The sequence below is a fragment of the Homo sapiens genome, chromosome 20 (genome assembly GCF_000001405.40).
Source record: "Homo sapiens chromosome 20, GRCh38.p14 Primary Assembly".
Classification (NCBI taxonomy): domain Eukaryota; kingdom Metazoa; phylum Chordata; class Mammalia; order Primates; family Hominidae; genus Homo; species Homo sapiens.
This window is the reverse complement of record NC_000020.11, coordinates 19,756,942-19,783,512: the sequence shown is the minus strand read 5'-3', so window position 1 is coordinate 19,783,512 and position 26,571 is coordinate 19,756,942. Positions and strand designations below refer to the sequence as shown.

The window sequence follows — 26,571 nt, the reverse complement described above, 5'->3', positions numbered from 1 at the left end:
CCTGGACAGGAATCACCCAGGTCAGAGACAGCCCCAGCTGGGTCCCCATCCAAACAGGGCAGGAATGAGAGGGGACGCCCAAAAACCTGGGGGTCTAGGGAAGCTCAGGAGAAGGCCCTGATGAGAGTTTGCAGAGAACCCTGGTGTGGCATGGCTGAGACTCAAAGGGGCAGTGATGGGGAAGGCCATCTACAGTCCATGACAAAGGCCTGTGCACACAGTAACTTCTCTGCTGATGTTTGTGGGATTAATAAATGAGCAGGAATTTAGTTTGAGAAAACCGTATGAATATAAACCCTGTTAAACACAGAAAGTTTTTCCAGTTACAACTCTAATATAACAAATATTTGTTGTGTTATGATCTGATACAGCAACACACTACCACCAGGATGAGCGAGAGCTGGGATTTATAGACTCCCACCCACCACCAACGTGGGGCACTCAAGAGAACCCACCACTGACCATAGGCGGCCGCTGCTTTGAATTCCTGGGTGGGGTCACATATTAAGAGAGATGGAAATGGTTTAAGCTTGTCTTCAGACACTCACTGTCCAAAGCTGCTAGGCATTCTAGGCTCCTCCTGTTGCAGGCCTGAGCTGGACAGCCAGCATACAGGTAGGCAGGGGATGCAGTCAAACCGTCAAACACCTGTTGAATGGCCATGAAGTCAATACATCTCTGTACCAGGTAGGAAATACCTTAATAATTAAGACAAGGGACAGATCAACTTGAGTGATGCTTTAGAAGAGGCCAGACTAGCACATGAAGCTGATGAGTTTGGTTCATGCCAAGTAGGAGGAAGGGAGGCATTTAGAACACAAGAGAAGATGCACATTTACAGGTAGAATCAGGCTTTTTCCAATTCTTGGGGACATCAGTTAATTAAATCAGCCGTTATTTTTAAACTTTGTTATTCAATAATAACATTTTAATAGTTATCTTTTTTTTTTTTTTTTTAAGACAGAGTCTCGCTCTGTCGCCCAGGCTGGAGTCCATCTCAACTCACTGCAAGCTCCACCTCCCAGGTTCAAGTGATTCTTGTGCCTCAGCCACCCAAGTAGCTGGGACTACAGGCGTGCATCACCACGCCTGGATAATTTTTGTAATTTTAGTAGAAGCGGGGTTTCACCATGTTGGCCAGGCTAATCTCAAACTCCTGGCCTCATGTGATCCACCCACCTCAGCCTCCCAAAGTGCCGGGATTACAGGCGTGAGCCACCACGGCTGGCTAACATTTTAAAATACGTATCTCATGCCTGACATTGGCTTAGGTGCTACGCATATGGCAAGGAACATATAGGCTTGATCTGGACCTTTCCTTCAAGAGTTTTAGTGGGAAAGACAGACCAATCTAGTGTGGTCAATCCATTGGATATTTCATGAATAATTCTCCATTCATCTTTGTCTGATACGGGCCTGTGGACCCTGGTCATGTGCAAGCCCAGATAAGGAAGGGTTAACTGTCTTGTCATTAACACCTCAAACAATAAAACAGATTTTTCAATTAGCGCTTAACTTAAAATGTAAAGCCAAATTACACTACCTTAGTAACCTACCATGGGAAATGGAACCATTCTTTGACGATGCATGGTCATCAATAACCTTCAGTACATATGTTTTAGGTTTCGTATTCCTAGCTGTAGGGGGCACAGTAATTGCAAGCACTGGGTTAATGAAGATTGGCCACAGATGGATACCTGGAAATACTTTTCTTGAAAAAAAAAAAAAAAGTGTATAATCTTCCTTCATAGCTCTTTGCCTCACTCATAAAAAGCTTGCTAAATAGGCCTTGCGCTGTGGCTCAGGCCTTCAATCTCACCACTTTGGGAAGCCAAGGCAGGTGGATCACTTGAGGTCCAGAGTTTGAGACCAGCCTGGCCAACATGGTGAAACCCCGTCTCTACTAAAAATATAAAAATTAGCCAGCTGTGGTGGTGGGTGCCTGTAATCCCAGCTATTTCAGAGGCTGAGGCAGGAGAATCACTTGAACCCAGAAGACGGGGGTTGCAGTGAGCAGAGAAATCGTGTCACTTGGTAAAGGGTACGCAGATGTCAGATTTCCTGAATGATGCAACACTCATGCTTTTCTAAACAGATCCCCAAAGCCAGGATACAAGGAGATTTCCTAACCTCCAGAAAGTCACCTATTGCAAAGTCATTATCGATGTTCTCTTTCTTGGCAATAATAAGCGAATTCTACACACTCCTTACAACATGTAGTCACTGCCCACTGAGCATCCATCCACGTGTCTTCTATGTCCCAGATGTTCTTGCATTGGGGAGGGTCTATGTGACTGAGTTTGGGCCAGTAAAATATGGATGGAAGTGACATATGCCACCCTCACTCATGGCATTTAAAGTGAGGTCACGTGTCTCCAGCCTTCTCTCCCTTTCTGCAATAGCCTTGTAAACTATATGTTCCAGATGACATGATACAAGATTAAAACAGCCTGGATCCCTGCATTATCACCTGGAGAAGAGCCACCCAACCAAGATCATGTGGTGGTTGTGGGTTTAGTGGCTCGCTGCAACCACTCTTTCATCTCTCTATTACTAGGAGAACTAAAATAAAATGAACTTCCTTCCTATTCTTCAAGACCTCTATTATTTACCTTGTTACATGTAAAGCCACAGCACAAATGCTGAGTGCACACCCCATGCCAGTTAAATTCAAGTATTATGTGGCATAGCTCCTTTAATCTTCTCCTTTGAAGCAGGTGCTATTCTTATTTTCATTTTACATATGAAGAAACTGAAGCCCAGAGAGGTTAATTAGTTTGCCCAGAAATCCCCAGCTTGTAAGTAGATTCACGAGGGTTGCAACAGAGGCCACCTAGCTCCAGAACATGTGTTTTTATTCACCACACTGTCCCACCTCTCCATCTGGCCTTTCGTTTCAGCACCAGTCATATTCTTGAGCACTAGGCATTTCCACTAACACAGTGTTGGCTGCTGGGTGGACTCATGGTGAGACCCTTGAGTCCCACTTGGCTTGCTCTACTTTAAGAGAAGCTCATTACATCCAGATCTCAGTGGGTAGCAGGGCGTGTGACATCTGAGCAGAGAATGGGACACCCTGGTCTCTTATCTCAGTGGGTAGCAGGGCATGTGACATCTGAGCAGAGAATGGGACACGCTGGTCCTTTGTGATTGTATTTTTAAAGAGGCACTGCTTCTTCAAAACATATCAATTCGGGACCACTATCGGAAGCTGTCTTCACAAACAACCCTAGGTCATGATTATTCCCTTGCTATTTTAATGCTTTCCTTTTAACTGAATTCTAGGCAAATGCAGCCTTAAAATTATATAGCTGCCTTCATGATAAGTGAAATTTCTCAAGGAATATCTCCCACATTAACAATTCATGCTCTGAATCACATTACACTCTGGACCAAGAGCTGAGTCAATGAGGCATTGGTGTTTTGTATTTTTGTTTCTGTATTTTTCTGAACGGTTCAAATCATATACAATGAGTAGATATTGTCTTTATAATCAGAAATAAAAGCTATTATCTGTTAATGAGGTGCTAGCAGAAAGGAAATGATTGAACTATTACAGAAGCCATAATATCGCTTCTTTAGGGCAAACACGCTGACCTCCAGAAATAGGCTGATTTTGCTATGCTTAGGCAAACCACAGGTTTCATGTATTCTTTCCCCGGAGGCACAAAACATGCTGGTAACAATAAAAACCACATCCATCGCACTAACTCGAGCTCTGTAAGCAATACATGGTATACTTTTGAAAGCCATGGCATGACTAGATTGTCTAACCACTGAAAGTCTTATTTTAGAAAATCTCAAAGTGTTCAAGCAAGAAAAATATTAATACTTGTTTTTCCTGTGCTTGGGTCTGGGGACACTTATCTGAGGCTCTCTGCTTGGCTACAATTTGACAAGCACGGCCAGAATGAATCAATTTTTCATCCTAGGGGTCAACATAGATCCTGGAATTTGAACACATTTCTTATTCAAATCCCAGCTTCCACGTTCTCTCATCTTGGGATCCTAAGCAAGTTAGCTATACCCCGCTGAGGTACAGTTCTAGTGACCCGTGCCCTGAGGACTGTGCTGTAAGAATGAGTTGAGATGATCTCTCTGGGATGCCCAGCCCAGGGCCTGGCCCAGAGAAGAGCACTTAGCTCAGCACCTGGGCATGGTAGCACTCAGTAAGTATTAATGACACTATTAATAATTAGGAGGATTTTTTTTTTAATCTGTGCTTTGAATGCCTGGTATCACTTTGACACACAGGACACAGCATTTGCTATATAAAACTGGCTGGATTTAGGTGAGAACTGAGCCAGAAATCAAACACCCTCCAATCCTCTCACTGAGACATCTTTCTGAGCTGGACCTGGAATTGCAAGGAATATGGCTCAGTCTCCTTTTTACAGATTTGTGATGATCCAAGAAGATAAATCCTCCCGTCACTACCATTATTGCTCTCGTGGGATCACCCACATGGCCTTATTTTCTCTTTTAAGTTACTTATAATTTCCTTGTGGACATTTCTACCTTTTGACTTAGTGATGTTCTAAGTCCAAACTCTACTCTGAGTCAGGACCCAGATGCTCCGACGCTGGTTTTTGGCTGTAAGGAAATGGAGAAGGGGAATCCCAGGAGTTGTAGTGGTTGGGGGGCCAGGAATACAGTCCCAGGCACTAGCAAGGCAACTCAGGTGGTGTCTCTGGGCCTCGCTTTCCTTCTTTGTACCCCACAGGGCCCTCCGAGGTCCCAGAAGTTCCCTAACTTCAGAACAGGTGTCCTTCCTCCAAATGTCCCCAGCCCACTGCCCCATTACTTGGTGTGGCCCAGTTCCTGGCCCCAAAGAAGCTCAGGGTTTTCCCTACCCAGCGTCTGCTCCAAGCTAAGAATCAGCCCGTGTTTGGGATGTGTCATGGAAAGTCTATGCTGGGCTTTGCAGTCAGCACTTCTGGTTCCAAATCCTGGCTCTGGCAGTACTTATTGGATTTGTGACTTGGGACCAGTTCACTTAACTTCTCAGAGCATTTGTTTGCCCATCTGTAAAGTGGGGATCAAGGCATTCACCCCACAAAACTGTGAGTACCCCAAATAAAGTAGATAAAGTTCCCACCACAGTGCCTCACACACAACTAACAGTGCCAAAATAATAAATGCTCTAATTACAAGGACTTGGGCACATACTTTGACATTTCTAGGATTTAGTGTCTCCTTCTGTAAAATTGGGTGACATGATTCAGTGATTTTTAGGGTCTTTTGTTATCTCAAATTCTGAGTCTATGTAAATGTTCATGCAACTGGAATTTGCCATCTTGTCTGAACCCTAAACACTCTGTTTCTTCTGTGGCACCTGGCAGGGAGCCCTATGCATGTAGGCAATTTATAAACACCCGGGGCAACGCCCTCTGCATTTCTAAAGTTACCTCTTCTGTATCAGGGGACTTAGTTTTTCCTTCCCAAGCAAATGAAAATATATTCAGGTGGACTCCAAACAAAGGCATGCTTTTTTCCTCCTTTGAAAATACAGCTTCTGTAGCATCGTTAGCCTTTTTAGGAATTTCCTTGGATTTGGAACACACCAGTAAGACTGTGGATTGTAGCATGTGTTGATTGTAATCACACACCCAAAGCCTCCCAAAATTCAATTACATTTTGGTGGCTCCTAAAAAAGTGACATTTGACTTTTAAAAATGGCAAAATTAAAAAACCAGGAAGGCCACAACACAAGCCTTTGCTCCACGCCAGTGTTTTGAGTGTTTATTCACAGCATTTCACAATTCGTCTGGAATGAAAACTAAACCAGAGAAATTAAAAATTCCATGTGAATAGAAAATCCCATTTATTATAAGGAAGATCTCGTCTCAGCCAGAAATGAATACAAACTAGTATAAGAAAAATCATGGCGAACATCTCTGCTCTGCAGAAAGAGAGCCCCCGTTTACTTGAAGAATTCGTTTTAAATGGTCATTTCCTGGAACCATGAGGCGACAGGGAGGTCAGGTCTATCAACAATTTATAAAAGCCTATTAAATCCCATGGGTCAGTTTTATAGTAACTGGAGTGTGGAATTTTAATCTCCTGGCATGGAGGGGAAATGTGGAAGAATGCAGAGCTGAAGTTCTGAAACAGCATGTTTCTTTGTAAGAGACATTGGGGCTACCCCACCCCAGGCTTCTCGATAGGTGGGACCCTGCTCCAAAGGCCCCAGTGGGGCAGATGAGCATGAAGCAGAAGGGGCCTAGTGGGGTGAAGAGGGAAAGAGATTCAGGGACTTGGAGTCTCTTCCCCTGAGATTTCCAGGGGTTCCACCTGTGCCCTTCCCTGTGTTCTTTGGCCCTGAGCACACAGTTCTTCTAAACCTCCTACATTTAAAAAGACCAACACTCTACCATGAAGGATGGAGGGAGAAGCCAGGATAAAACAATTCCCTCCCGGATGGACCCGCCCCTGAACACCTCCTCCTTCCTCCCTCACTCCTTTTCCTATTTTATCTGTCAACAAAAAGAGTCCAACTCTGTAAAATATATGAAGAGATTTATTCTGAGCCAAATATGAGTGATCAGTGGCCTGAGTTAGAGCCCAAGGAGATCCTGAGAACATGTGACCAAGGTGTCAGGCTACAGCTTGGTTTTATACATTCTAGGGGGACATAAGACATCAATACATCTAAGACATAATCAATACATGTAAGATGTACACTGGTTTCGTCTGGAAAGGCAGGAAAATCGGAAGGGAAGGGGTTTCCAGGCTGTGGGCAGATTTGAAGATTTTTTCTTTCTTTCTTTTTTTTTTTTTTGAGACAGGGTCTCACTCTGTCACCCAGGCTGGAGCGCAGTGGCGTGATCTCGGCTCACTGCAGCCTCCACCTCCTGGGTTCAAGCAATTCTTCCACCTCAGCCTCCCGAGTAGCTGGGACTACAGGCAGCCGCCACCATGCCCAGCTAACTTTTGCATTTTTAGTAGAGATGGGGTTTCACCATGTTGGCCAGGCTTGTCTCGAACTCCTGACCTCAGGTGAACCATCTGCCTCAGCCTCCCAAAGGGCTAGGATTACAGGCGTGAACTACAGTGCCTGGCCACATTCAAAGATTTTCTGATTGGCAATTGGTTGCAAGAGTTATTATCTAAAGACCTGGAATCAATAAGGGGTTGTGGAGAGTAAAGTTTTGTCATGCAAATAAAGCCTCCAGGTAGCAAGCTTCAGAGAGAAGAGATGGTAAATGTTTCTCATCAGACTTCAAGAATCTGTTCTATCAGTCTTAAGGTTTCTGTGTTGATGTTAATGTTGGTCAGCTGTGCCTGAATTCCCAAAGGGAGGAGGGTATAATGAGGCATGTCCGACTCCCACTTCCCATCATGGCCTGAGCTAGTTTTTCTGGTTAACTTTGGAATGCCTTTGGCCAAGGGGAGGGGTCCATCAGTTAGTTGGGGGACTTAGAGTTTTATTTTTGGTTTACATACCAAGGAAATGAAAAGAAGTTAATGGTTGACTTTAGGGCACATAAAAGATTGAGGCCAGAGAACGCCTGGGTAAGTCTTTAATAAGCTATACACATCACAAAAATATTTGTTAGTATTAGTATTTCTATTTGAGAAGGAAACTGTAAAACCAGATTGCCTGGGTGGAGCGAAGCCGGAGGCTCTGACAGCCTGTGGAGGGTGAGGCTCCTAACTGCAGCTGAGTCCCATACTCAGCTAAGCAATGGAGGGCCCTGGGGCGGACATACTCCTTAGGCTGTTTGCTTTGGGAGAAGCAGTACAGCTTGGCACTTAGGAGTTTGGACTCTGTCAGTGGACAGAGCTGGTCCAAGACCTGTTCTACCACTGATTAACATGAACTTCAGCAAATGCTTGTGTTCTCTAAGCCTCTGTTTTTCCAGTGTAAATTGGGTAAAAATACTCATCTTCAAGACTGGTGTAAGTATACAATAAATAGCACATGGACTGTGGCAAGTATATGAGTGACACACATGTGCTTAATAAATTAGTGATGTCACCTCTCAGCAGTCTATCTACAGTCTCTTTTTGAAATCAGGTGGTGTCCTCAGCCCCAAATTGGAAGGGTAGGCATACCTCCACCAGTCAGAAATCCTCTGCAGTTGAGGGAGCCAGATGCTAACATCCAAAATACCGACTTCAATGGGGGCCCCATTTGCAGGGAAGATACGCAATTTAGTGAAATGAACCAGCAGTCAACCTTTGCACTGCCACGTTTTCACAGACTTTGGAGACCATAGTTGGCAACATAAAATTTTGCACTTATTGCCATCCTATTACACGAGTTAACCCTAGGATAACATCTCCATATCCTTTTCTTAGACAATTTTATCCTCTTTAGGCTTTCTATATTCTGAAAACTGCTACCAATGCATTTGTAGCCCAAAGCTCTCTTTCAAGCTCCAGACTCCCAGATATTTAACACCTCCTTGGGTTTTCACAGGCTCATCAAACTTAACACATACGAAGTGGAACTCTGTATTGCTCTGGCTTCTTTTCCTACCAGATTGATCATCTCCTTAAATAATGCCTCCATGAATGTGGGTGGTCAGTAATGGGCCATCCTTGACTCTTCTGCTCTCCTCACATCTAATTCACCACAGCTTTGCTGGGTCATTCTCCAAATTTTGCCTCCAATTCTTTCCTCTAGCCAGGGACCAGTTTCTGAATGATCACAGTCTTCTCCTATCTGGTCTCACTGAGGCCACTCTTGCTCCACTGAAATGCTGTCTGTGATCAGCAGTCAGGGTGAACTTTGTAACACCAAATCCTATTACATCATCCTATTCACAAGAGAGAACAATGGCTTGGAATGGGACAATGGCCATGGAGATTCAGGGAAGTACAAAGCGGGTACCCTGCCTGTTCAGTGCCTGACAACACAATTGGTACCCAATAGTGATTTGATGAGCAAATGCATGGATCCCACTCCCTTGTGTCCTTTTTCTAGAATACGAATAATTTTCTCAAGGCATTTTCAATTCCTTTACATGCCACAGTGGCAGAGGACAAGAGAGACTCATGGCTTTTTCTGACTAAAGATTCCTCTTGGAATTCCTCTCTGCAATCTCTGACTCTTGATCTTTTTCCCGCTTCTTCTCTAGTTGCAAAAATATTGCTTTTATTATATGCTCCTGTAAGAAAAATACTATGTGCCCAGTTCACATTCCTATCTGACTTCCTTTGGAGACATAAATCAGAGTTGGGTTGTGTTGAGTTCTTTATGCAACTCCATCATCCTGCCCTCTTCAGCAATCCCAGGGCTCTCTCCTGATTCAGTGAACTGGTACTTGGCTGCTCGGGGGTGATAGGTGAGATACATTCATATTTATGTCATTTTAGATGCATTATGTAAGTTGAGTTCAGAAACCTGAGCTCTGTCTTGAAAAATTCCCTGTGAGATAAAAGAGAGGAGCCTATAAAGGCCTCCATCCCCTGCCTATGGTAGCTGGTTGACAGCCCATAAACACAGTTGCTCCATGGGACAGAAGCTCAGGGTCAGAATGCAGGAAGCTCCAAGGTCATGGGAACTGGGTGCTGGTCAGGGGCAAATCAAGGGCATGATGGTGATTTTTATATGAAGCTAAACATATTTCCTTTATCTTTATTATATATATATAATATTTTATAATATTTATCATCTAGTATATATTATTTTATTTTTATTATCACAATCCATGATGTGATTTTAATAGTGATTGTAACCAGATCACTGTATTATCAGGCATTTTGAAATTGTACCGCACATCTCCCAAATACAGTCATTTGGCCTCTCATGCACCTCAGCCAGCAGGAAGGAGAAGCTGCCGTTCATTAAGCATCAATACCTCCAAAGAGATGTACCTGGCACTCAGCAGTACCATGGAGAGATCACAGAAACCAGTCAGGGTGGTCTAATAGACAGCACGCCACCAAATCAAAGCTCAGGAACCACCCACCTCGCTTGGCCCTTTCTTTAAGCCTTCAGCTCCCATTCTCTGCTTTCACCCACCTCAGAAGGTGCTAAGGCCTCCCCAACAACAGCAGAACAAGACAAGATGGAGGCAACTCACACCCAGCCCTTTGACCTGGAATAGCTATTTACTGCTGAGAATGCCTGACTCTATTTTCTGATTGTGTGCACTGGTCACACTTCCTGGATATCTCATCAGTTTCTAATTTTACACCTAGTTATGGGTTGAATTGTGTCCCCACAAAGAGATATGTTGGAGTTCTCACCCCTACTAGCATTGGATATTACCTTATTTGGAAATGGGGTCTATGCAGATTTAACTAATTTAGATGAGGTCATCAGATGAGCCCCAATCCAACAGGAAAGGGGAAACCTGGAGGACGATGTGAGGACACTCAGGGAGAATGTGTGAGCATGGAGGACTGGAGGGATGCATCTACAAGGCATGCTTGAGGCTTCCAGAAGCCGGGAGGCCTGGAACAGCTCCTTCCCTACCACCGTCAGAGGGAGCACAGCCCTGCCAACACCTTGATTTCAGACTTCTGGACTCCAGAACTGTGAGACAATAAATTTCTGTTGTTTCGAGCCACCTTGTTTGTGGTATTTTGTTACAGCAACCCTAGAAAATTAATGCATGCCTGTATTTCTACACAGGGACACCCTGAGGTTATTACAGAGTCATTGCTACAAGTGTAGGTCCTGGTGTTTGACAGACCAGGAGTGAATTGTGGCTTCCCCACTTTCAAGCTTTGTGACTACAGACAAATCACTCCATCTCTCTGTGCCTCAGTTTCTATAATTTGGGGAAAAAAGCATAAAACGACTTCATGCATACCAGGGGGATGAGGCACGAAGTGATCATCTCACAGGCTGGTCAGGGTTCTGAGATGAGGCAGCCATGTGAAGTCCTGAACAGAGGTCTGGCTCAGGCAGTGCCGGGACCCTTTTAGCTGCTGGGATTATTCCTTGGGATCTTGGAGTGCTTGTCAGTGGAAGCTTGTGTCTCTTGTGACATGAAACCCAAGATCAGCATGGTTCCAGGGCTGGCTTCGTGGCACCCAAACTGTTCAGTCACACAGGGCCCTGCATTCAGAAGGGCCCCATCCTTGGTTTAATGTCAGATGCTGCTAGAAAATCACATCATATGGGGATCAAAGACTGACCACTGGATTTGAAAACAGGGGGGTCATCGGTGACCTTGACAAAATCAGTTCAGGGGGCAGTATCCTGGCTAGAGTGGTACAACGGAAGAAGTGGAGGAAGAGACTTGGGGACAGTGAGCACCGATGCACTCGTAAAGAGTTCTTTGTAAAATGAAAGCTGAGAAAAGATGTGGGAGCTGGAAGTAAAAGTGGAGTCAAGAGAAGGTTCTCTAAAGTTGGGCCATACTACAGTATGAATCCAGCTGGATGGAAATGACCCAGGAAACAGGGTGAGAAACTGGTGACCCAGCAAAGAGCGGGACAATTGCTGCAGTAATGCCCTTGAGTATCTGAGAGAAGCCTGGGTGGACTGCATAACTGAGAGCGCGCATCTGTTCTATCCACGGAAGCAGGAGGGAGCTGGAGCCTACAGTCGGCATGCAGGTGGCTTGGTAGTGTTTGGGAGTCATGGAAGTTCTGCAGATTAGTTCTAGTTTCTGTGCAACAGAGCAAGATCCTGTCTCAAAATAACGAGAGAGTGAGGAGGGCAAGAGGAGGCAGGAGGAGGCAGGAGGCTTGAGAAGGGAGAGTCGGAGTGGAACAATCATTCAGGGCATGTTTTTTTCAAAGCCCATTAGTGGGTTGTGAAAGCAATTTAGAAAAGCTGCTGTCAGAGCGTTTTAATGAAATGAAAGAGGATAGGATCAGAGAGGAGAAGAAAGGAAATACCAAAGCAGTGTTAGTTCCCCAAACTCTCCTTCACTCCTATGCATATAAAAATGTAATTTGAAAAACAAGTATGTCGAAGATGGATCCGAAGAGGTGTGTGGATGGACTACGGAAAGGGAGCTGGACCCCTCGAGACCGACAGCCGTGAATCCCTTAAGGATGCCGTGGTCTTCCTGGCCATGTCCGTCTGCCTGGTGCAGGGACAGCCCAGGGGAAGTGTGCTTCAGCAGGGGTTGGGGTTGAGTTCGGGGAGTGCCCTGAGAGAGACCAGGCAAGAGAAATGAGGAATACGCAAAGGAGGTGTTATGTGATATATTATGAAACATATACCTGGTCTTTAACCCTGTTTCCTGCCATACAACTCCAAAAATCCTTAGAATCTCCAAAGTGATGTTTCTGCATGCTAATGAGCTGATTGACAGCTGGCAGTCCCTGGTTACAGGAAAGACCAAGGCAGGATTAGAGGACTGGGACTTTGACCACTGTCTCACCTCCAGGGACAGGAGAGGGGCTGAAGGTTAAGTTGATCACCAATAGCCAATGGTTTGACCAGGCAGACCTAGGTAATGAAGCTTCCACAAACACGCCAAAGGCCTGCATTCAGAAAGCTTCTTGGAAGCTGGCCTCCCCCTGTGCTTCTCTTCATCTGTATCCTTTGCAATATCCTTTACAATAATCCAATAAATATTTGTGTTTCCCTGAGCTCTGTGAGCTACTCTAGCAAATTAGTTGAACTCGAAGAAGGGGCTGTGGGAACCCCCACTTGATGCCGGGTCTGTCAGCAGATCCGGAGGCCGGGACTTGCGGCCCTAGTGGGAAGGTGGGGGGGGGGGGTGGGGGCAGTCTTGTGAGACTCAGCCCTCACCCTGTGGGAATTGAGCTGGAGGATGCCCAGCTGGTGTCCACTACTTGGTGTGTGGGGAAAAACCCCACACATTTGGTCACAGAAGGCTTCTGTGTTGGTGATTGTTGTGAGAGCAGAGGAAAAACACGTTTTTGTTTTTTTCACGTACAGGTTATACGTGAAAACATGGAATTCTTGCTGGGAAGGAGGCAGCAGGAGGTGGAAGAGGGACAGAGGCTGGGGGCAGAGCCATGAGTTGCAGAGCTTGGTGGTGACTGAGCGGAAGCAGCTCCGCAGGGAAAACAAGATTTCACATTTCCTCCTCCAGATGGAGGGCAGGGGAATTGTGTCCCCTTAGAAATGCTCATTTGCAGAGAGGTTCTGTTAAAATGGCTCATTGGGAAATGCTTTAAGGGTCAGAGGGCTTTCTCCTTGCCTCTGCGCTGGGCTTTTCACATGGCATGTAAACAATTTTGAAGTCAAATGGTATCATAGCTGGGTCAATTTCTCCAGCACTCACCCAACATTGTTTTCCTCAAAGGCAGTCCTGTTAAATTAAATAATCCTTAATTGCATAGTTCCTTCAGCTCAGTCAACCTTCAACAGTTATTTTGCTAAATTTATTACTTTTTATCTTTGCTTCTAGAATGATATTTATTTTGTAAAAGCATCATAATCCTTGTGAAATATGAAGTCTTAGTTCTTATGCCAGGCTCTTTTTGTCTCTCTAAAAAACTTGAGCATAGCTTTTCCTGGAGCCTTTCATACCTTCATTACACCATCTTCCATGAGAAATAGAAACAATTCCTCAGAATGTTAAAGACCAACTACAACCAAGAGGTTTAAATGCGCTTATAGGAAACTATAGCTAAAATATTCGCTTTTCCTTTTCTGCTGTTCATTTTCTTTTGCTCTTGGGGTTGATTACTTTTTCTCTTACAATAATTATTTTTATTGTTTATTGATTCTTAAGCTAAGTGAAATATACCTTAGTAAAAAACTTTCAAAAGAGGTTGATTTCCACCTTATATCAGCAGTTCAAATTAGAGCTTATCATGATCCACCTCCTGAGGTCTTGAAACACAGTATTTAAAATATCTGATTTCATATGGCCCTGTCATGTTATTCTGCTTTCTCAGCCATTACTCCAGCTGCTGCATGCTCAGAATAGCAAACACATGGAATTCTTACTAGTGGTTTGTCACTGGTAGGAGCTTCATGTCAAATTGCAGCCGCCTGGTAACAACAACGTGCTTCATCTCTGAAATCTCTTGTGATCTGCTAGTTTGAAGTAATTTACATATCCAACCCTGTTACACTTCACTGGCAGGGCTTGTGCAACCTACCAGAGATGGAGGGTCGATGATGATGACTACGGCACAGAACGGATGGAGGTGGGAAGGTGCCTATGCATTCAGATACTCATGTGTATTTGAGTAAGGATTTGACAAACTACTAGCCTGGGTGGTGAGGGTGTGTGCTGTGCCCTGACCTAGTTAGAAGATTCTTCTTCAGATCTTCATATTCTCTGGTCTCCTAGACCCACAGCTTTCAATGTCCTCTATCCTATTCATTACTTACCCTTCAAGGAACTCAGAGCCAATAATAATAGAAACAGAAAGCTGGCCGGGCACGGCACGGTGGCTCATGCCTGTAATCCCAGCACTTTGGGAGGCCAAGGCGCGTGGCCAAGGCGCGTGGATCACCTGAGGTCAGGAGTTCAAGACCAGCCTGGCCAACATGGTGAAAGCCCATCTCTACTAAAAACACAAAAATTAGCTGGGCGTGGCGGTGGGCACCTGTAATTCCAGCTACTCAGGAGGCTGAGGCAGGCGAATCACTTGAACCCAAGAGGCAGAGGTTGCAGTGAGCCGAGAGTGCGACTTTGTACTCCAGCCTGGGTGACAGAGCGAGACTCGGTCTCAAAAAAAAAAAAAAAAAGAAACAGAAAGCAAAGTATTTCCAAGAAGAATATTTATATATCTATAGGTATCTTGTAATTATATTGAATATTTCCAATAAGGTCTAAAGGCATAAAAATCAGCACCAGAAGTGTGGGAAATAAGCACATAGAGGAGAGACGGTTTCTGGTGGGCCAGCATAACCTCTGAGGGGCCAGTAAGCCACACATGGCATCATGCTGTGTAATGTCAGTAAGAAACTCCTGCTCCTCATACGATCAGGAGGTCACAAGAAATGACAATGAATTATTCATAACAATCCACTCTGTCTGCCTGTGTGAGGATGAGAACAGGTATCCCACTCTGGCAAATGCTGCCACGCCCTGTCCCTGTGCCTTCAGAGTCCTAAATCATTTTCATGCACATTTGCAAGCCACAGCCAGCACCTGGGTCCCTGTCAGAGGATGCTCTCTATGGGACTCGCTTTGCCCGCATGCAGAGAGAGCTGGAAGCACTTGGGGCAACCCTTAGTCTGACTGATGCAGGGGTAGAGCGTCTCCAGAAAGCTGGCCTCCGATCTGGCTACTCTTGTGGGGCTCCCACTGTTTCCAGAGCATTCCAGTTTGCACCACTGCTCAGCTTCCTTGCCTCTGGCCCCCTTTCCCCACTCTCCTGTTTTCCTGTGAATATTTCTTCATCCATTTTCCATGAATCCTCACCTCGGGGTCTGCTTCTAGGGAACCTGGTCTGAGACCTTCCCTCATCTCCTGTTATAGACAAGGAGCCTGAGATGCTATTTAGATCAAAACATAGGGAGAGACCAGGCAGAACCTGGTTTGTTTCCCTCACAGACTTTCTCCATCGTGACACACAGTCTGGATCATTGGGACATGACGCTCTCCTAAGTTGTCCTCCACTTGTCCTGCAGGTACAGTTCTTGCCTCCCTCCCTGGACTGAAGCCCTCAGAGGGTCTGGGTCACATCCTCCGTCTCTCTCCATGTTTCGCAGGAGACTTGCATTGATTTTTTTTTTTTTTTTTGAGACAGTTTTGCTCTGTTGCCCAGGCTGGAGTGCAGTGGCGTGATCTCGGCTCCCTGCAACCTCTGCCTCTCAGGTTCAAGTGATTCTCCTACCTCAGCCTCCTGAGTAGCTGGGATTATGGGCACCTGCCACCACGCCCAGCTAATTTTTGTATTTTTAGTAGAGACAGGGTTTCGCCATGTTGGCCAGGCTGGTCTCGAACTCCTGACCTCAGGTGATCCACCCGCCTTAGCCCCCACAAAGTCCTGGGATTACAGGAGTGAGCCACCACGCCTGGCCAGGAGCCTCGCATTCTAAGTGGTGCCATAATGAACTCGCAGGAGCTCAGAAAACAGTACCCCAAAATGAGGGCCTCAGAAGCAAAAGTCATTCTCTGACCTCCTGCCCTCTGGTCTCTCAGTCCCATCCTCCCTGAGGCTAGCCAGAGAAACTAGAATTCTCCTTCAAAGTGGGTCATAGGACCCATAACCTCTTTTCCCCAGAGCCAGCCACAAAACCTAAACTTACTGCTGTAACTTTCCCTCCACCATTCTGTGTAAAAACTGGCCATAAAGAAACTGTCTGACCTACTGTGACTAACTATAGGTCATAAGAGCATTCCGGAGAGGGTCAGCTCCATACCTGGAAGAAAGGAATGCTGCTCAGAGAGACCAGGAGGAATCTAGACAGACAGGCCTTGCTGGATCTCCCCAAGCAGTCTGTTCGCACTCAATCAGACTGTTTGTCCAGTCACATTTCTACACGGCTGTCCATATTTGTTGAACCTAAACATAAACACAATTTCCCCTGTATTTTGGGTCTTCATTCTGAAGGCTCCTCTGTAGACACGTTAAGTAAATCTGTATGCCTTTTCCCCAATTAACCTGCCTTTTCTGAGTTGATTTTACAGCAAACCTTCAGCAGGTGAAGGAGAACTTTTCCCTTGGCCCCTACAAACTCCACGTTCCTTCCCTAGGTGCTCCAAGCCTCTCTTGTTTCTCACTCTTTTTTTTCTTTTTTTTTTTTTTCTGAGATGGAGTCTCACGCTATTGCCCAGGCTGGAGTGCAGTGGCGCGATCTCAGCTCACTGCAACCTCCGCCTCCCGGGTTCAAGCAATTCTCTTGCCTCAATCTCCCGAGTAGCAGGTGCGTGCCACAACGCCCAGCTAATTTTTGCATTTGTAGTAGAGATGGGGTTTCACCATATTGGCCAGGGTGGTCTTGAACTCCTGACTTCAAGTGATCTGCCTGCCTCAGCCTCTCAAAGTGCTGGGATTACAGGTGTGAGCCATCACACCCAGCTTATTTCTCACTCTTTGTACTTGCCGCTCCTGCCTGGAACCCACGTGTTATTAGTTAACACTGATGATTCCATCCACCGTAGCTTAGACATCTCTTCCATTGTGAATCCTTTTCTGATGCCCAGGAAAGGATGAAGTACCCCTTCTGTATGCAACCACATTGCCCTTGAATAGAAAGTGGTCTGGGAACCAACCTTGAATCTGCCCTTTCCTAGCCCTGTTCTTTGAAATGACTCTACCTCTGATCCCAACGTCCCATGGAAGCACAGTTTAAAAGAGGGAGAGTGCCTAAGCTGATACTAAAGTGTAGTAGGTTATTTGTATTATTTAGATCATATATGTGGTCTAAGGTCATCCTGTAAACTGTTTAGGGAAAGACATTAGCTGCAAATATTGGGGAAAACTAGGGTATGAGGTGTGCCCAGAGACAGTGTTTGTCATACGAAACACACACCATCTGTTAAGGCAGGAATCCCGGAATACAGAGAGGATGGGTGGGTGCCCCATCCATGACAGATGGCCAGGAGCAGCCTCCCACCATGAGGGAAGGACAGGGAGCTGTCTGACTGTCACTTCAGACATCAGACCTCACAGGACTGAGGGGATAAGAAGCTTTGAAGAAGCCACCCTAATAAAGCGCCTCCGTCAACCTAGGAGGACCATTCTCCCCATCTGTGCCTGGTCCATCCCACTGGCTGTCCCTCCTTCCCTCCCTCCCTCTGTAGCCTCCTTTTCTCACAAGCCATGAAACCTTCCAAAGGGTCTTGCCATCCATGAGGATGAAGTCACCTTCCTTCAACAACATTAGTCTAGCAGAGAGCCAGAGGAATCTCCTAAACCCACCCCATCCCACCCCCAAGATCCCTGTGCTTACTTCATAAAAGGAAGAGGGATAAATGCCTTTTCTAAAAAGACAAGAGCCTCTGACTTTGTGGGATCCCTAAATTATCAAGGAGAAAAACCATTGCAAAGGAAAGCAACAAAGAACTTGAATTAGGGGTCTTCCAGTTCAAACTCAACACAAGTATGTCTGTCTCTCAAGTCAAGCACTGACCACACTGTCCTGCCCTTCCCAGTCTGTGTAAGTATCCCCTGCTAGGCTGCTAGGTCCTTGAAGCCTGGAATCCTAAAGGAGCGCCTACACACATGAGTGCAAATGAACCTTTGAGCCAGCCAAGGTCCCACACCTCCCAGCAGAGCTGAAACCAGAAGCCAGTCTCCTCCAGTCTGGGTTTGTGCCTTCCTCACCAGCCACCCCAGGGATCAGTGTGCATGTGTGGCCTGAACACATACAATCAATGCCCACTGGCTCTAATTCAATGTCATGGTTTCCCAGAAAAAGAGGATCCCAAACTATCTTTCGGGTCTTCCCAAATTAGGCTTAATATAATTCCAAACAAATCCCCTGGAATAAAATTTCACTGGAAGAATTAATAAGTGAATTTGCCAAGAAGATTTGGGGGTGGGGGAGAAGATAAAAGGGCAGAAAGTGGCCTGGCACGGTGGCTCACGCCTGTAATCCCAGCACTTTGGGAGGCTGAGGCAGGTGGATCACTTTAGGTCAGGAGTTCGAGACCAGCCTGGCCAACATGGTGAAACCCCGTCTCTACTAAAAGTACAACCTGGTAGGCAGAGGTTGCAGTGAGCTGAGATCATGCCACTGCACTCCTGCCTGGGAGACAGAGCAAGACTCTGTCAAAAAAAAAAAAAAAAAAAAAAAAACGCAGAAAGTGAAGTGGGACTTGCCCTTCCTAGTAGAATTTGTATGTGTTATGGAGCTGGGGAAAGGCAGGTTTATTCACCAAATGATGCCAGACCTAGGGGAAAACTATGGGGAAAAAGGAATAAACTTTTGTTCCTACTCTATAAACCACCTGCCAAATGATCTCAAATGAATTTAAATAGTAATCTGAAAAACTGAAAGCATAAACATTAGAAGAAAATATAAAAGGCTAGGTAATTGATTGAGGAAGTGGAAAGGTTTTCTATGCAGAAGAGCCACTAAGGAAATTTTAAGAAAAAGCACAAACATTTGATGATGCAAAAGGTTAAAGATTTTGTATAACAAAATGTGTATCGCTGAAGCGATAAACATTTAGCACTTAAGCAAGGAAAGTCTGGATAGCAAGATGATGAGCGTTTAGGTTCCACGTCCCTTATCTGGACATGGGTGTGCTGAAGTCAGACACACCCAGGACTGCTAGGTCCTGCATAGACGAGGTGACTGGTCTCAGCACTCAACTTCCCCTGGTGTGGGATCCTGGCTGACTTTCCGAGACTCAAAGGTTTCCATGCACAGCTGCCCTCAGTTACCACACAGGACAGATGTCTGCTTCCATTCATGTTTTAAAAGTATTCTTGTAATCGAGCCATAGTTAAAATGCAATGGGGGAGTTCAGTATTTGGGAAAAATCGGTAACAATTTCTTTAATAACTAAAGTTCATCTAGCTAACTATTTAATCTAGCTTTTTTTAAATTTTGAATTCCTGATCTACCAAATAAAATCAGGTACATAAAAAACAAAAAGTCTCTTTATCCAATTTATTGGATTAACTTACTTAAAAAAAGACTTCACTCATTAAAAATACAAATGTTTCCAAATCTGATTTTTGAAATGACTCAAATTTTGAGAATTTTAAGCAAGTGGGGGGTTATGTATTAATACTCCATGTACTATCACTTGGCCAGATGGTATCATCAAATAAAAATGAGATATACACTCATAGTAGGAATTAGAACACCTCCCGAATCCGTTTCTCATTTGGATACTATAAAGTCCAGCAACGTCTTTTAAATCACTCTTAGGATGGTTTTTAAAACAAACCAGCATACCTTTATAACCATTCCTACATCAAACTGAATCAGGGGCTCTCAATCATGGAGCATCATTCAACGTTAGTAATGGAGGTTCTTACAACCAAAGCTTTTTGACCAGAATAAGACATCTCACACAGGCTGGAATACCCACAGCGTTAAAAAATTCAATTTTATTTTCTTAGACTCTTTCACAAAATGACTGTGTTTAAACTTTCACCTAACTATTAGTGAGTTTAAAAACAGTTTCTGCTACAAAAAACAGTGTCATTTAATCATTCATTCATTCATTCACTCATTCATTATGTGATTATGCTATTGAGTGGTTTTGCTAGCGGCTGTATTCACTTGTGTGGTTCTATTCACACTTTCAGCTGACATTCCACACTTCTCTGTGCTGATATACATATATATCTTATTTATTTATTTATTTATTTAGAGACAGAGTCTTGCTCTGTCACCCAGGCTGGAGTGCAATGGAGTGATCCTGGCTCACTGCAACCTCTGCCTCCCGGGTTCAGGGGATTCTCCTGCCTTAGCCTCTGAAGTAGCGAGGACTACAGGGGCCTGCCACCAGGCCCAGCTAATTTTTTTGGTATTTTTAGTAGAGACAGGGTTTCACCATGTTGGTCAGGCTGGCCTTGAACTCCTAACCTCAAGTGATCTGCCCACCTCAGCCTCCCATAGTGCTAGGATTACAGGCATGAGCCACTGCACCTGGCCAGGACTTTTAAACTCAACAGGTTAAAAATCACATTTAGGCCTGTGCATGGTGGCACACGCCTGTAATTGCTGCATTTTGGGAGGCCAAGGTGGGTGGATTACCCGAGGTCAGGAGTTCGAGACCAGCCTGGCCAACATCATGAAACCCCATCTCTACTAAAAATACAAAAAATTAGCCAGGTGTGGTGGCGGGCACCTGTAATCCCAGCTATTCAGGAGGCTGAGGCAGGAGAATCGCTTGACTCCGGGAGGTGGAGGTTGTAGTGAGCCGAGATCGCACCACTGCACTCCAGCCTGGGCAACAAGAGCGAAACTCTATCTCTAAATAAATAAATAAATAAATAAAATAAATCACATTCAGTGTTTCTTCCCTACCTTCTCCCTTGTTCGCACAGCACGATGACATGTGCATGCTCACACACACACTTGAACTCCACGGCTTGGCTAATGACCCATCAGCCTTCTAGTCATCTTCTTCAACTCCCCTTGTCACTCCCCATCCCGCCCCATCTGATAGGTCCATTTTTCTCAAAACACTCCTTCCCTTGACTTCTGTGACACCACCCTGTTTAATACATATCTCTAAATGAGAATTGTTACTTTTTGTGCTTTCGAAAAATCTACGAAACAAATCTTGAGATATATTTGCTCAGCATTGGAGACCTAGAAATGTCTGCAGATGAATGTTAAATTTGCACAGCTGTGCCTCTTTGATCACTTTCCGAAGGCTCCTCCACTAGCCCACAATTCTCCTTTGAGTCCCTGAAATTCTAACTCCAACTTCCTCACTTTGTCTCCTTAATTGCAATAAAGCCTCAATAGCTGAGGTTACTGGTCTGTGGAAGGTGCTCTAACAGTAGATTGAAGGCAAACTCTGATTTAAAAATACCTGATTTCAAACAATGGTTGCTTGTGAACGGGGGCTGCAGCTCCTATGAGGAGGGATTGCTGTTAGCAGGCTTCTGTTCCAGGTCTGAGACACCCAGAGAGTGACATTTACTTACTTTTCATAAGCAAATGTCCACACACACTTAGACACCCTAGAGAATTCACTTGGCCAGCACCCAAGGAGAGAGGAATGAGAGAACAGAAAATTCACTGAGCAGGTGTACTTTCTCACTCAATGGATGTAACTAGCCAAGATGAAATAGTGATCTCAGGACAAGAACCCTGAAGTTGCCACCCCATCTACAGAGCTGCGTTTGAGGGGATTCTCAGAGTTGGAAAGGCTGGTTGAAATCTGAAGGCTTCTGGGCAGCAAAAAGGCAGTGCTCTCCAGAGGCTGGGGTTCCCTCAGATCATATCTGATCAAACCCAAAGAACCTATTCATATTAATCGGATGCATGGAAGCTACTTGAGTTAATTGGATACACAGATCAACAATCCACTCTAAATTGACAAGGGTGGATTATTATGCTTTTCTAGTGTCCAGAATATACATTTTTACTATCCAAAATACCACATATTAGATGGAATCAACATTCCTTGGAAGTTGGCCTAGACATTATAAGATTTTGGGAGAACTAAACAATTCCCTAGGTGAATTCCTTGGAACACTGGATCCAGAAGATACTTCATGAGAAAGAGTGTTCTGTGGCCAAATAAAGTTGGCAAGCATCCCATACTATGGTGTCATTCTAAAGAGTCCCAATGTATGGTATAACAATAAAGACTCCTTAAAGTCCTGCCATAAAAAAACAGACAACATTAGCATTTCCCTAACATATTTTATCACTGTAACTCATTAGTGATTGTTTAGCAAAACTGCATCCTAAAACACAACTCGGTGAATCCTGCTCTGTACATACACTGCATGGAGTGTGCCTCTGGGCAGGTTCGCCTTTAGCAAGTCCACTGTGCTGCGGCAGAATGACAGACTAATTTTAGGCTTTCATTTCCTCACCTACAAAATGCAATGAATACTACTGTTGTGAGAAACGACTGAGATACTATTTGTAAATCCATTTTATAATGTGCTACAAAAATGTTACCTGCTTTCTTCAGAGGCATTACAGTCCTGAGGGTATACTTCTTGCTGTGCAACTTCTCAAAATGCCTTGACAAAGGGACACTTTTGTTCATTCATTCATTCAACACCCCCTCCTTGAGTGGTAGGTCTTAAGGGCTATGGCCTGGTTTTGGACCCTGGGAAGCTTACAGACAGTGGGCAAGTGAGGTCCACTGTATTGCTTTAAGAGATACATACACATACACACACACAAGGAATTCTGGTGGCAGTGAGGGGGTGTCTTACTGGGGAAAGGAGGACAGGGTCGGGGAAATCTTTCTTGCTGAAACTATTAGGATTCTTGAAGGTTCATTAGGTAGGTTGGATATACAAGGGGAATTGGGCACAAGGTCAAAGCACTATAATACAGAGAGTATGTGAAGAATGGGCCTCCCATTAATGGGTCACACGAGCATGGACCTCTCAGGGTAGCATACCCTGTGTTTCATCTGTGATACCTGATTCATCTGTGTCCTCCAAGCAGAGGAAGAGGGTTTAGCTAAGCAAGGAGGTTCTTTCTGGAAAGTGGAAGTCCTGAAGTGGGTAGTGACCCTTGACTTTGGATAAGGTGTATGGCAGGACACCTTGGGTGGGGATAAGAGTGCTGCTGCGAAGTTATCTTTAAATAAGCACACGCCATAGCCATCCTGGGAGTCAAGCTCCCTCCCACCTGCCCTACACTAGAGGTCAAGTGTGGGCTATTTCAGTTTCCTCCTCTGCTCTGATGAACTGTCTGCAGGAGAATGTTTCCAGACAAAGGTCTTGATAGCAGGTTGGTTTTCCCCGTGTCTCCAGCCTCCAACTACTGAGAGCAAGTCTCCAAACCCAAAAGCTCCTGTCAACAGCCTTCTTCCCAAGTTCCAAAAGCAAGGGCCCTTCACTGTCCCGGGACCCTACCCATCCCTAGCCTGTGATGCTCTCTCTGGAGGTGCCAAAGCACGGGAGTGCATGAGTATTCCAGAGGCAATATTGGAACCTGAGGCAAAAAGGAAAATTAGCACCTCTATATCCACTTATGACAATATCCTCCTACATTTGAATTAGGTAAAAAGTTAATAAAAGCTCTGCATTCAGTGAACGTGACTACATCTGAAGCCAGAGTTGCTCAATCTGTTGCATGCCACTGTCAACTCTCAAACCACCAGGCAAGGGAACAAACAAATGGGGAGGTGGGGGAGGGAGACTGGATATGACTGTTCCCATTGAACAATGAAGCAGGGTTCTTTTTTTTTAGACAGAGTTTCACTCTGTCACCCAGGCTGAGTGGAGTGGCACAATGTCGGCTTACTGCAACCTCTGCCCCCAGGTTCAAGTGATTCTCCCACCTCAGCCTCCCGAGTAGCTGGGACCACAGGCACATGCCTTCAGGCCCAGCTAATTTTTGTATTTTTAGTAGAGATGGGGTTTCACCCTGTTGGCCAGGCTGGTCTTGAACTCCTGACCTCAAGTGATCTGCCTGCCTTGGCCTCCCTAAGTGCTGGGATTACAGGCATAAGCCACTGCACCCGGCCTATGAAGCAGGGTTCTAACAACACCCACCTGTATTTAAAATGTTGATTTTTGCTTATCATGAATTTTTTACATTCAATTTGGTTTTGTTAAAAAGATTGTATTAAAATACTATTTATCTTAATGATGGAGTGCTGCCCTGTGTGTTTCTTTTTTCCCAGTAAGCCCTTTGCACTCCCAGCAAGTGTTTCTTTTTGCTTCAGTATTTACAGTCCTTTTGGTCGAAGAGTACTCTGATGTTTCCTTACCGATGACAGCGTGTTCCTAAGAAACCCCAATGTGCCCAAAACCGCGCAAGGAAGTGCCGCTACACTGCGGAATTAGGAAAGCCCCAGGGATTTAAGAGCTCTGAGAAGACAGGCGCCTCTCAGGGCCCAGGGGACCGATCTTGCCCTGTATTTCTTGGCAACATATCATAGGCTTTCAAGCTGAACTTCTGCAAATCCTGCTGTCCCCGCGCGGTCGAGGGGCGCGCCACCGCCGGTGGGTGGACGCCGAGCTGGTGGGAGCCCAGGCCAAGGGTGGAGGCCAAGCCCAGAAGGGGGCGGGGAGGCCTCAAAGTGGGAAAGTGGCCCCGTCCCTTCCCGGCAGGAATCCGGGGCTCCTCCTCCGCCCGCTGCGCAGCCATCAATCACCGCGACAGCCCAAGTGCCCCCTGCCCGGACACAACAACCCTCCTGCTTTTCCACCCGGGGGAGGAAATCTCCGGTCGGAGCATCTGCCCTGCACACTGGCTGGACTCACCAGTGGGGTCCGCGCTGGGGATCAAAGCTGTGCGACACCGGGTCTGACCCGCGCGCTCAGGCGCAGGGAGCACTTGACACCCCACAGGCAGCCCTGCAGGTAGAACTCCTCAAAGGTCCCTACCAAACTCCGTCCGGTGCACACGCACGCACACCCGCACCTCCGCACCTCGAGCCATAGTGCCTGCACCCTCCAGCTGTCCCTCACCCCAGCCCCGCACAGGTCAGCTGAGGACACCCGGTGACCCTGCCGGGACCAGCGGCCACCTCGCGCTCCGGAATGTCACTCTGCCCCTTGTCCCCACTCCCTGATCCCCCTTCCCCCTTCCGTTCCCCACGATCCCCGAGGACGCGCTCTGGCTGTCTTCCTCAAGTCCCCTCCGGAGTAGGGAGAGAGTGCGCACAGCAGCACCCACGTCTGGAACCCCAGAGAGCCCCGCCCGTGCCCGGAGCCTCTCCGGGCTCTCTAGGTGCGGGCACAGGGGGTGGGGTCTCCGCTGCCACCGCCCCTTACCTCTCGCGGGCCCTCCCCGCAGGTCCCGGAGGCGGGGGCGACCGGTGGCCCCAAAGACGAGCGCGGGGCTGGGTTTCCCCGCCCGGGAGGAGCAAGAGGAGGAGGAGGAAGAGGAGGAAGGGGGAGAAAGGAGGGGAGGGGAGGGGAGAGGAGAGGAAAGAGGAGGAGGGGAGGGAAGGGCTTTGTGTTTGCCTCGGGCCGTCCCTCGGCAGTAGGGAGCCATCCCCCTCCCCCAGCCACCTTCCTGAGCTCGCAGAGGAGATGGGGCGGGGGTGATCGGATCGGAGGCAGCGACCAAGGCGCCTGCGCGACCCCAGGTCCGGCCCATCCCTCCATTCCCTGTAACCGCCAGCCTCCGCCCCTCTTGACAACCACCCGCTACGCTTACCCTGTTACAAGGAACCCAGGCTGCAACCAGGAAAAACTGCCATCAGAAAGTTTATCTAAGCCGGAGCAAACTTGGCTGGACCGGCCCCTGACCCGCCTTGGCGCTGCCGCCCCTGTCTTCTGCGGTCCCCGGCCAGGCGAGGACCAGAGTTTTGTTCTCGGAGATTCTTGCCTTTCTTGTTTTAGCACAAACGCGCACGCACCCCTTTCCCATAACGAGCCCCTCCGCCCAACTACAGATCCCGGGATCTGTTGCAGGGGCTGGAAAGGCCCCACTCGAGAGGCCTGAGCTGGCTGCGGCTCTTGGTTCCGGGGCAGGTTCTCCAGGGTTGGATACGCTCTGGACGCCTGGGCGGGTTGTTTTGCTTCGGCCTCGCTGGCCAGGGGCCCGCCCACCCCGCCTGGAACGCGGTTTGGATCGGCGCTGGGAGCCCTCCGTAACCCCAGCTGAAGGCCGCGCAGGCAGGCGGGGACGCCGGAGCTGCGGGGCCGGTTCCCAGCCAGCATCCAGCCTTTTCGGAATCAGGCGGGTCCCTGGTGATTCGCTGGGTTTTCCCACTTCCCACGGGGACCTCACCTTTGGGAATTAATTGCTGACAGTGTTAGAGTTACAAAGTAGCCAGTGTCACGGAGGGAACCTCAAAGAGACAAAGGGACACCTCGAAGGTGTCAGAGAGACGGTTGTTTTGGACAGAAACAGAACAGCGAAGCGGAAAGAAAACAGACCTTATTTCTGTTCTGTTCCACTTCAGATAGTAGCAGAGGAGACTTGGATTTCATTGGTGTTGGTTTTCGTGATTCCTGCCTTCTAAAATCCCAAGACTTATTTATCATTTATCATCAGCTCAGATCCCAGGAAAACAGTCCACTGCACTTCGGTTTCTGCTCCAAGTCACCCATTAAATAAATAATTGAACACCTGCTGGTGCCAGGCGCAGTTCTAATGCTTGGGATATGTCGGTGAACAAAGCAAAGGTCTCCCTCACCTGGGGGAGCTGA

The 26,571-nt window shown here is 46.5% G+C and overlaps 1 protein-coding gene across 11 annotated transcripts in view, besides 1 other annotated feature; it reads right to left on the bottom strand.

Annotated features, from left to right (window-relative positions):
* Positions 1-25,914, bottom strand: part of RIN2 (Ras and Rab interactor 2) — a 244,858-nt gene extending 218,944 nt beyond the window's left edge. For 7 of the 11 annotated variants that reach the window (XM_047440211.1, XM_047440215.1, XM_047440210.1 and 4 more), the window contains exon 1: positions 25,186-25,255. The gene's annotated coding sequence lies outside the window, so the exon portion shown is untranslated. Of the gene's footprint in view, positions 1-25,185; positions 25,256-25,573 lie in introns of those variants that run through there. The other 4 variants (XM_047440212.1, XM_047440213.1, XM_017027888.2 and 1 more) reach the window with 1 other exon arrangement.
* Positions 24,292-24,866: an enhancer, noted in NCBI's record as "OCT4-NANOG-H3K27ac hESC enhancer chr20:19739291-19739865 (GRCh37/hg19 assembly coordinates)". NCBI's record gives its function as "activates a minimal SCP1, AML or CMV promoter by ChIP-STARR-seq in naive H9 embryonic stem cells {active_cell/tissue: H9 hESC(naive)}" and the evidence as "EXISTENCE:reporter gene assay evidence [ECO:0000049][PMID:30033119]".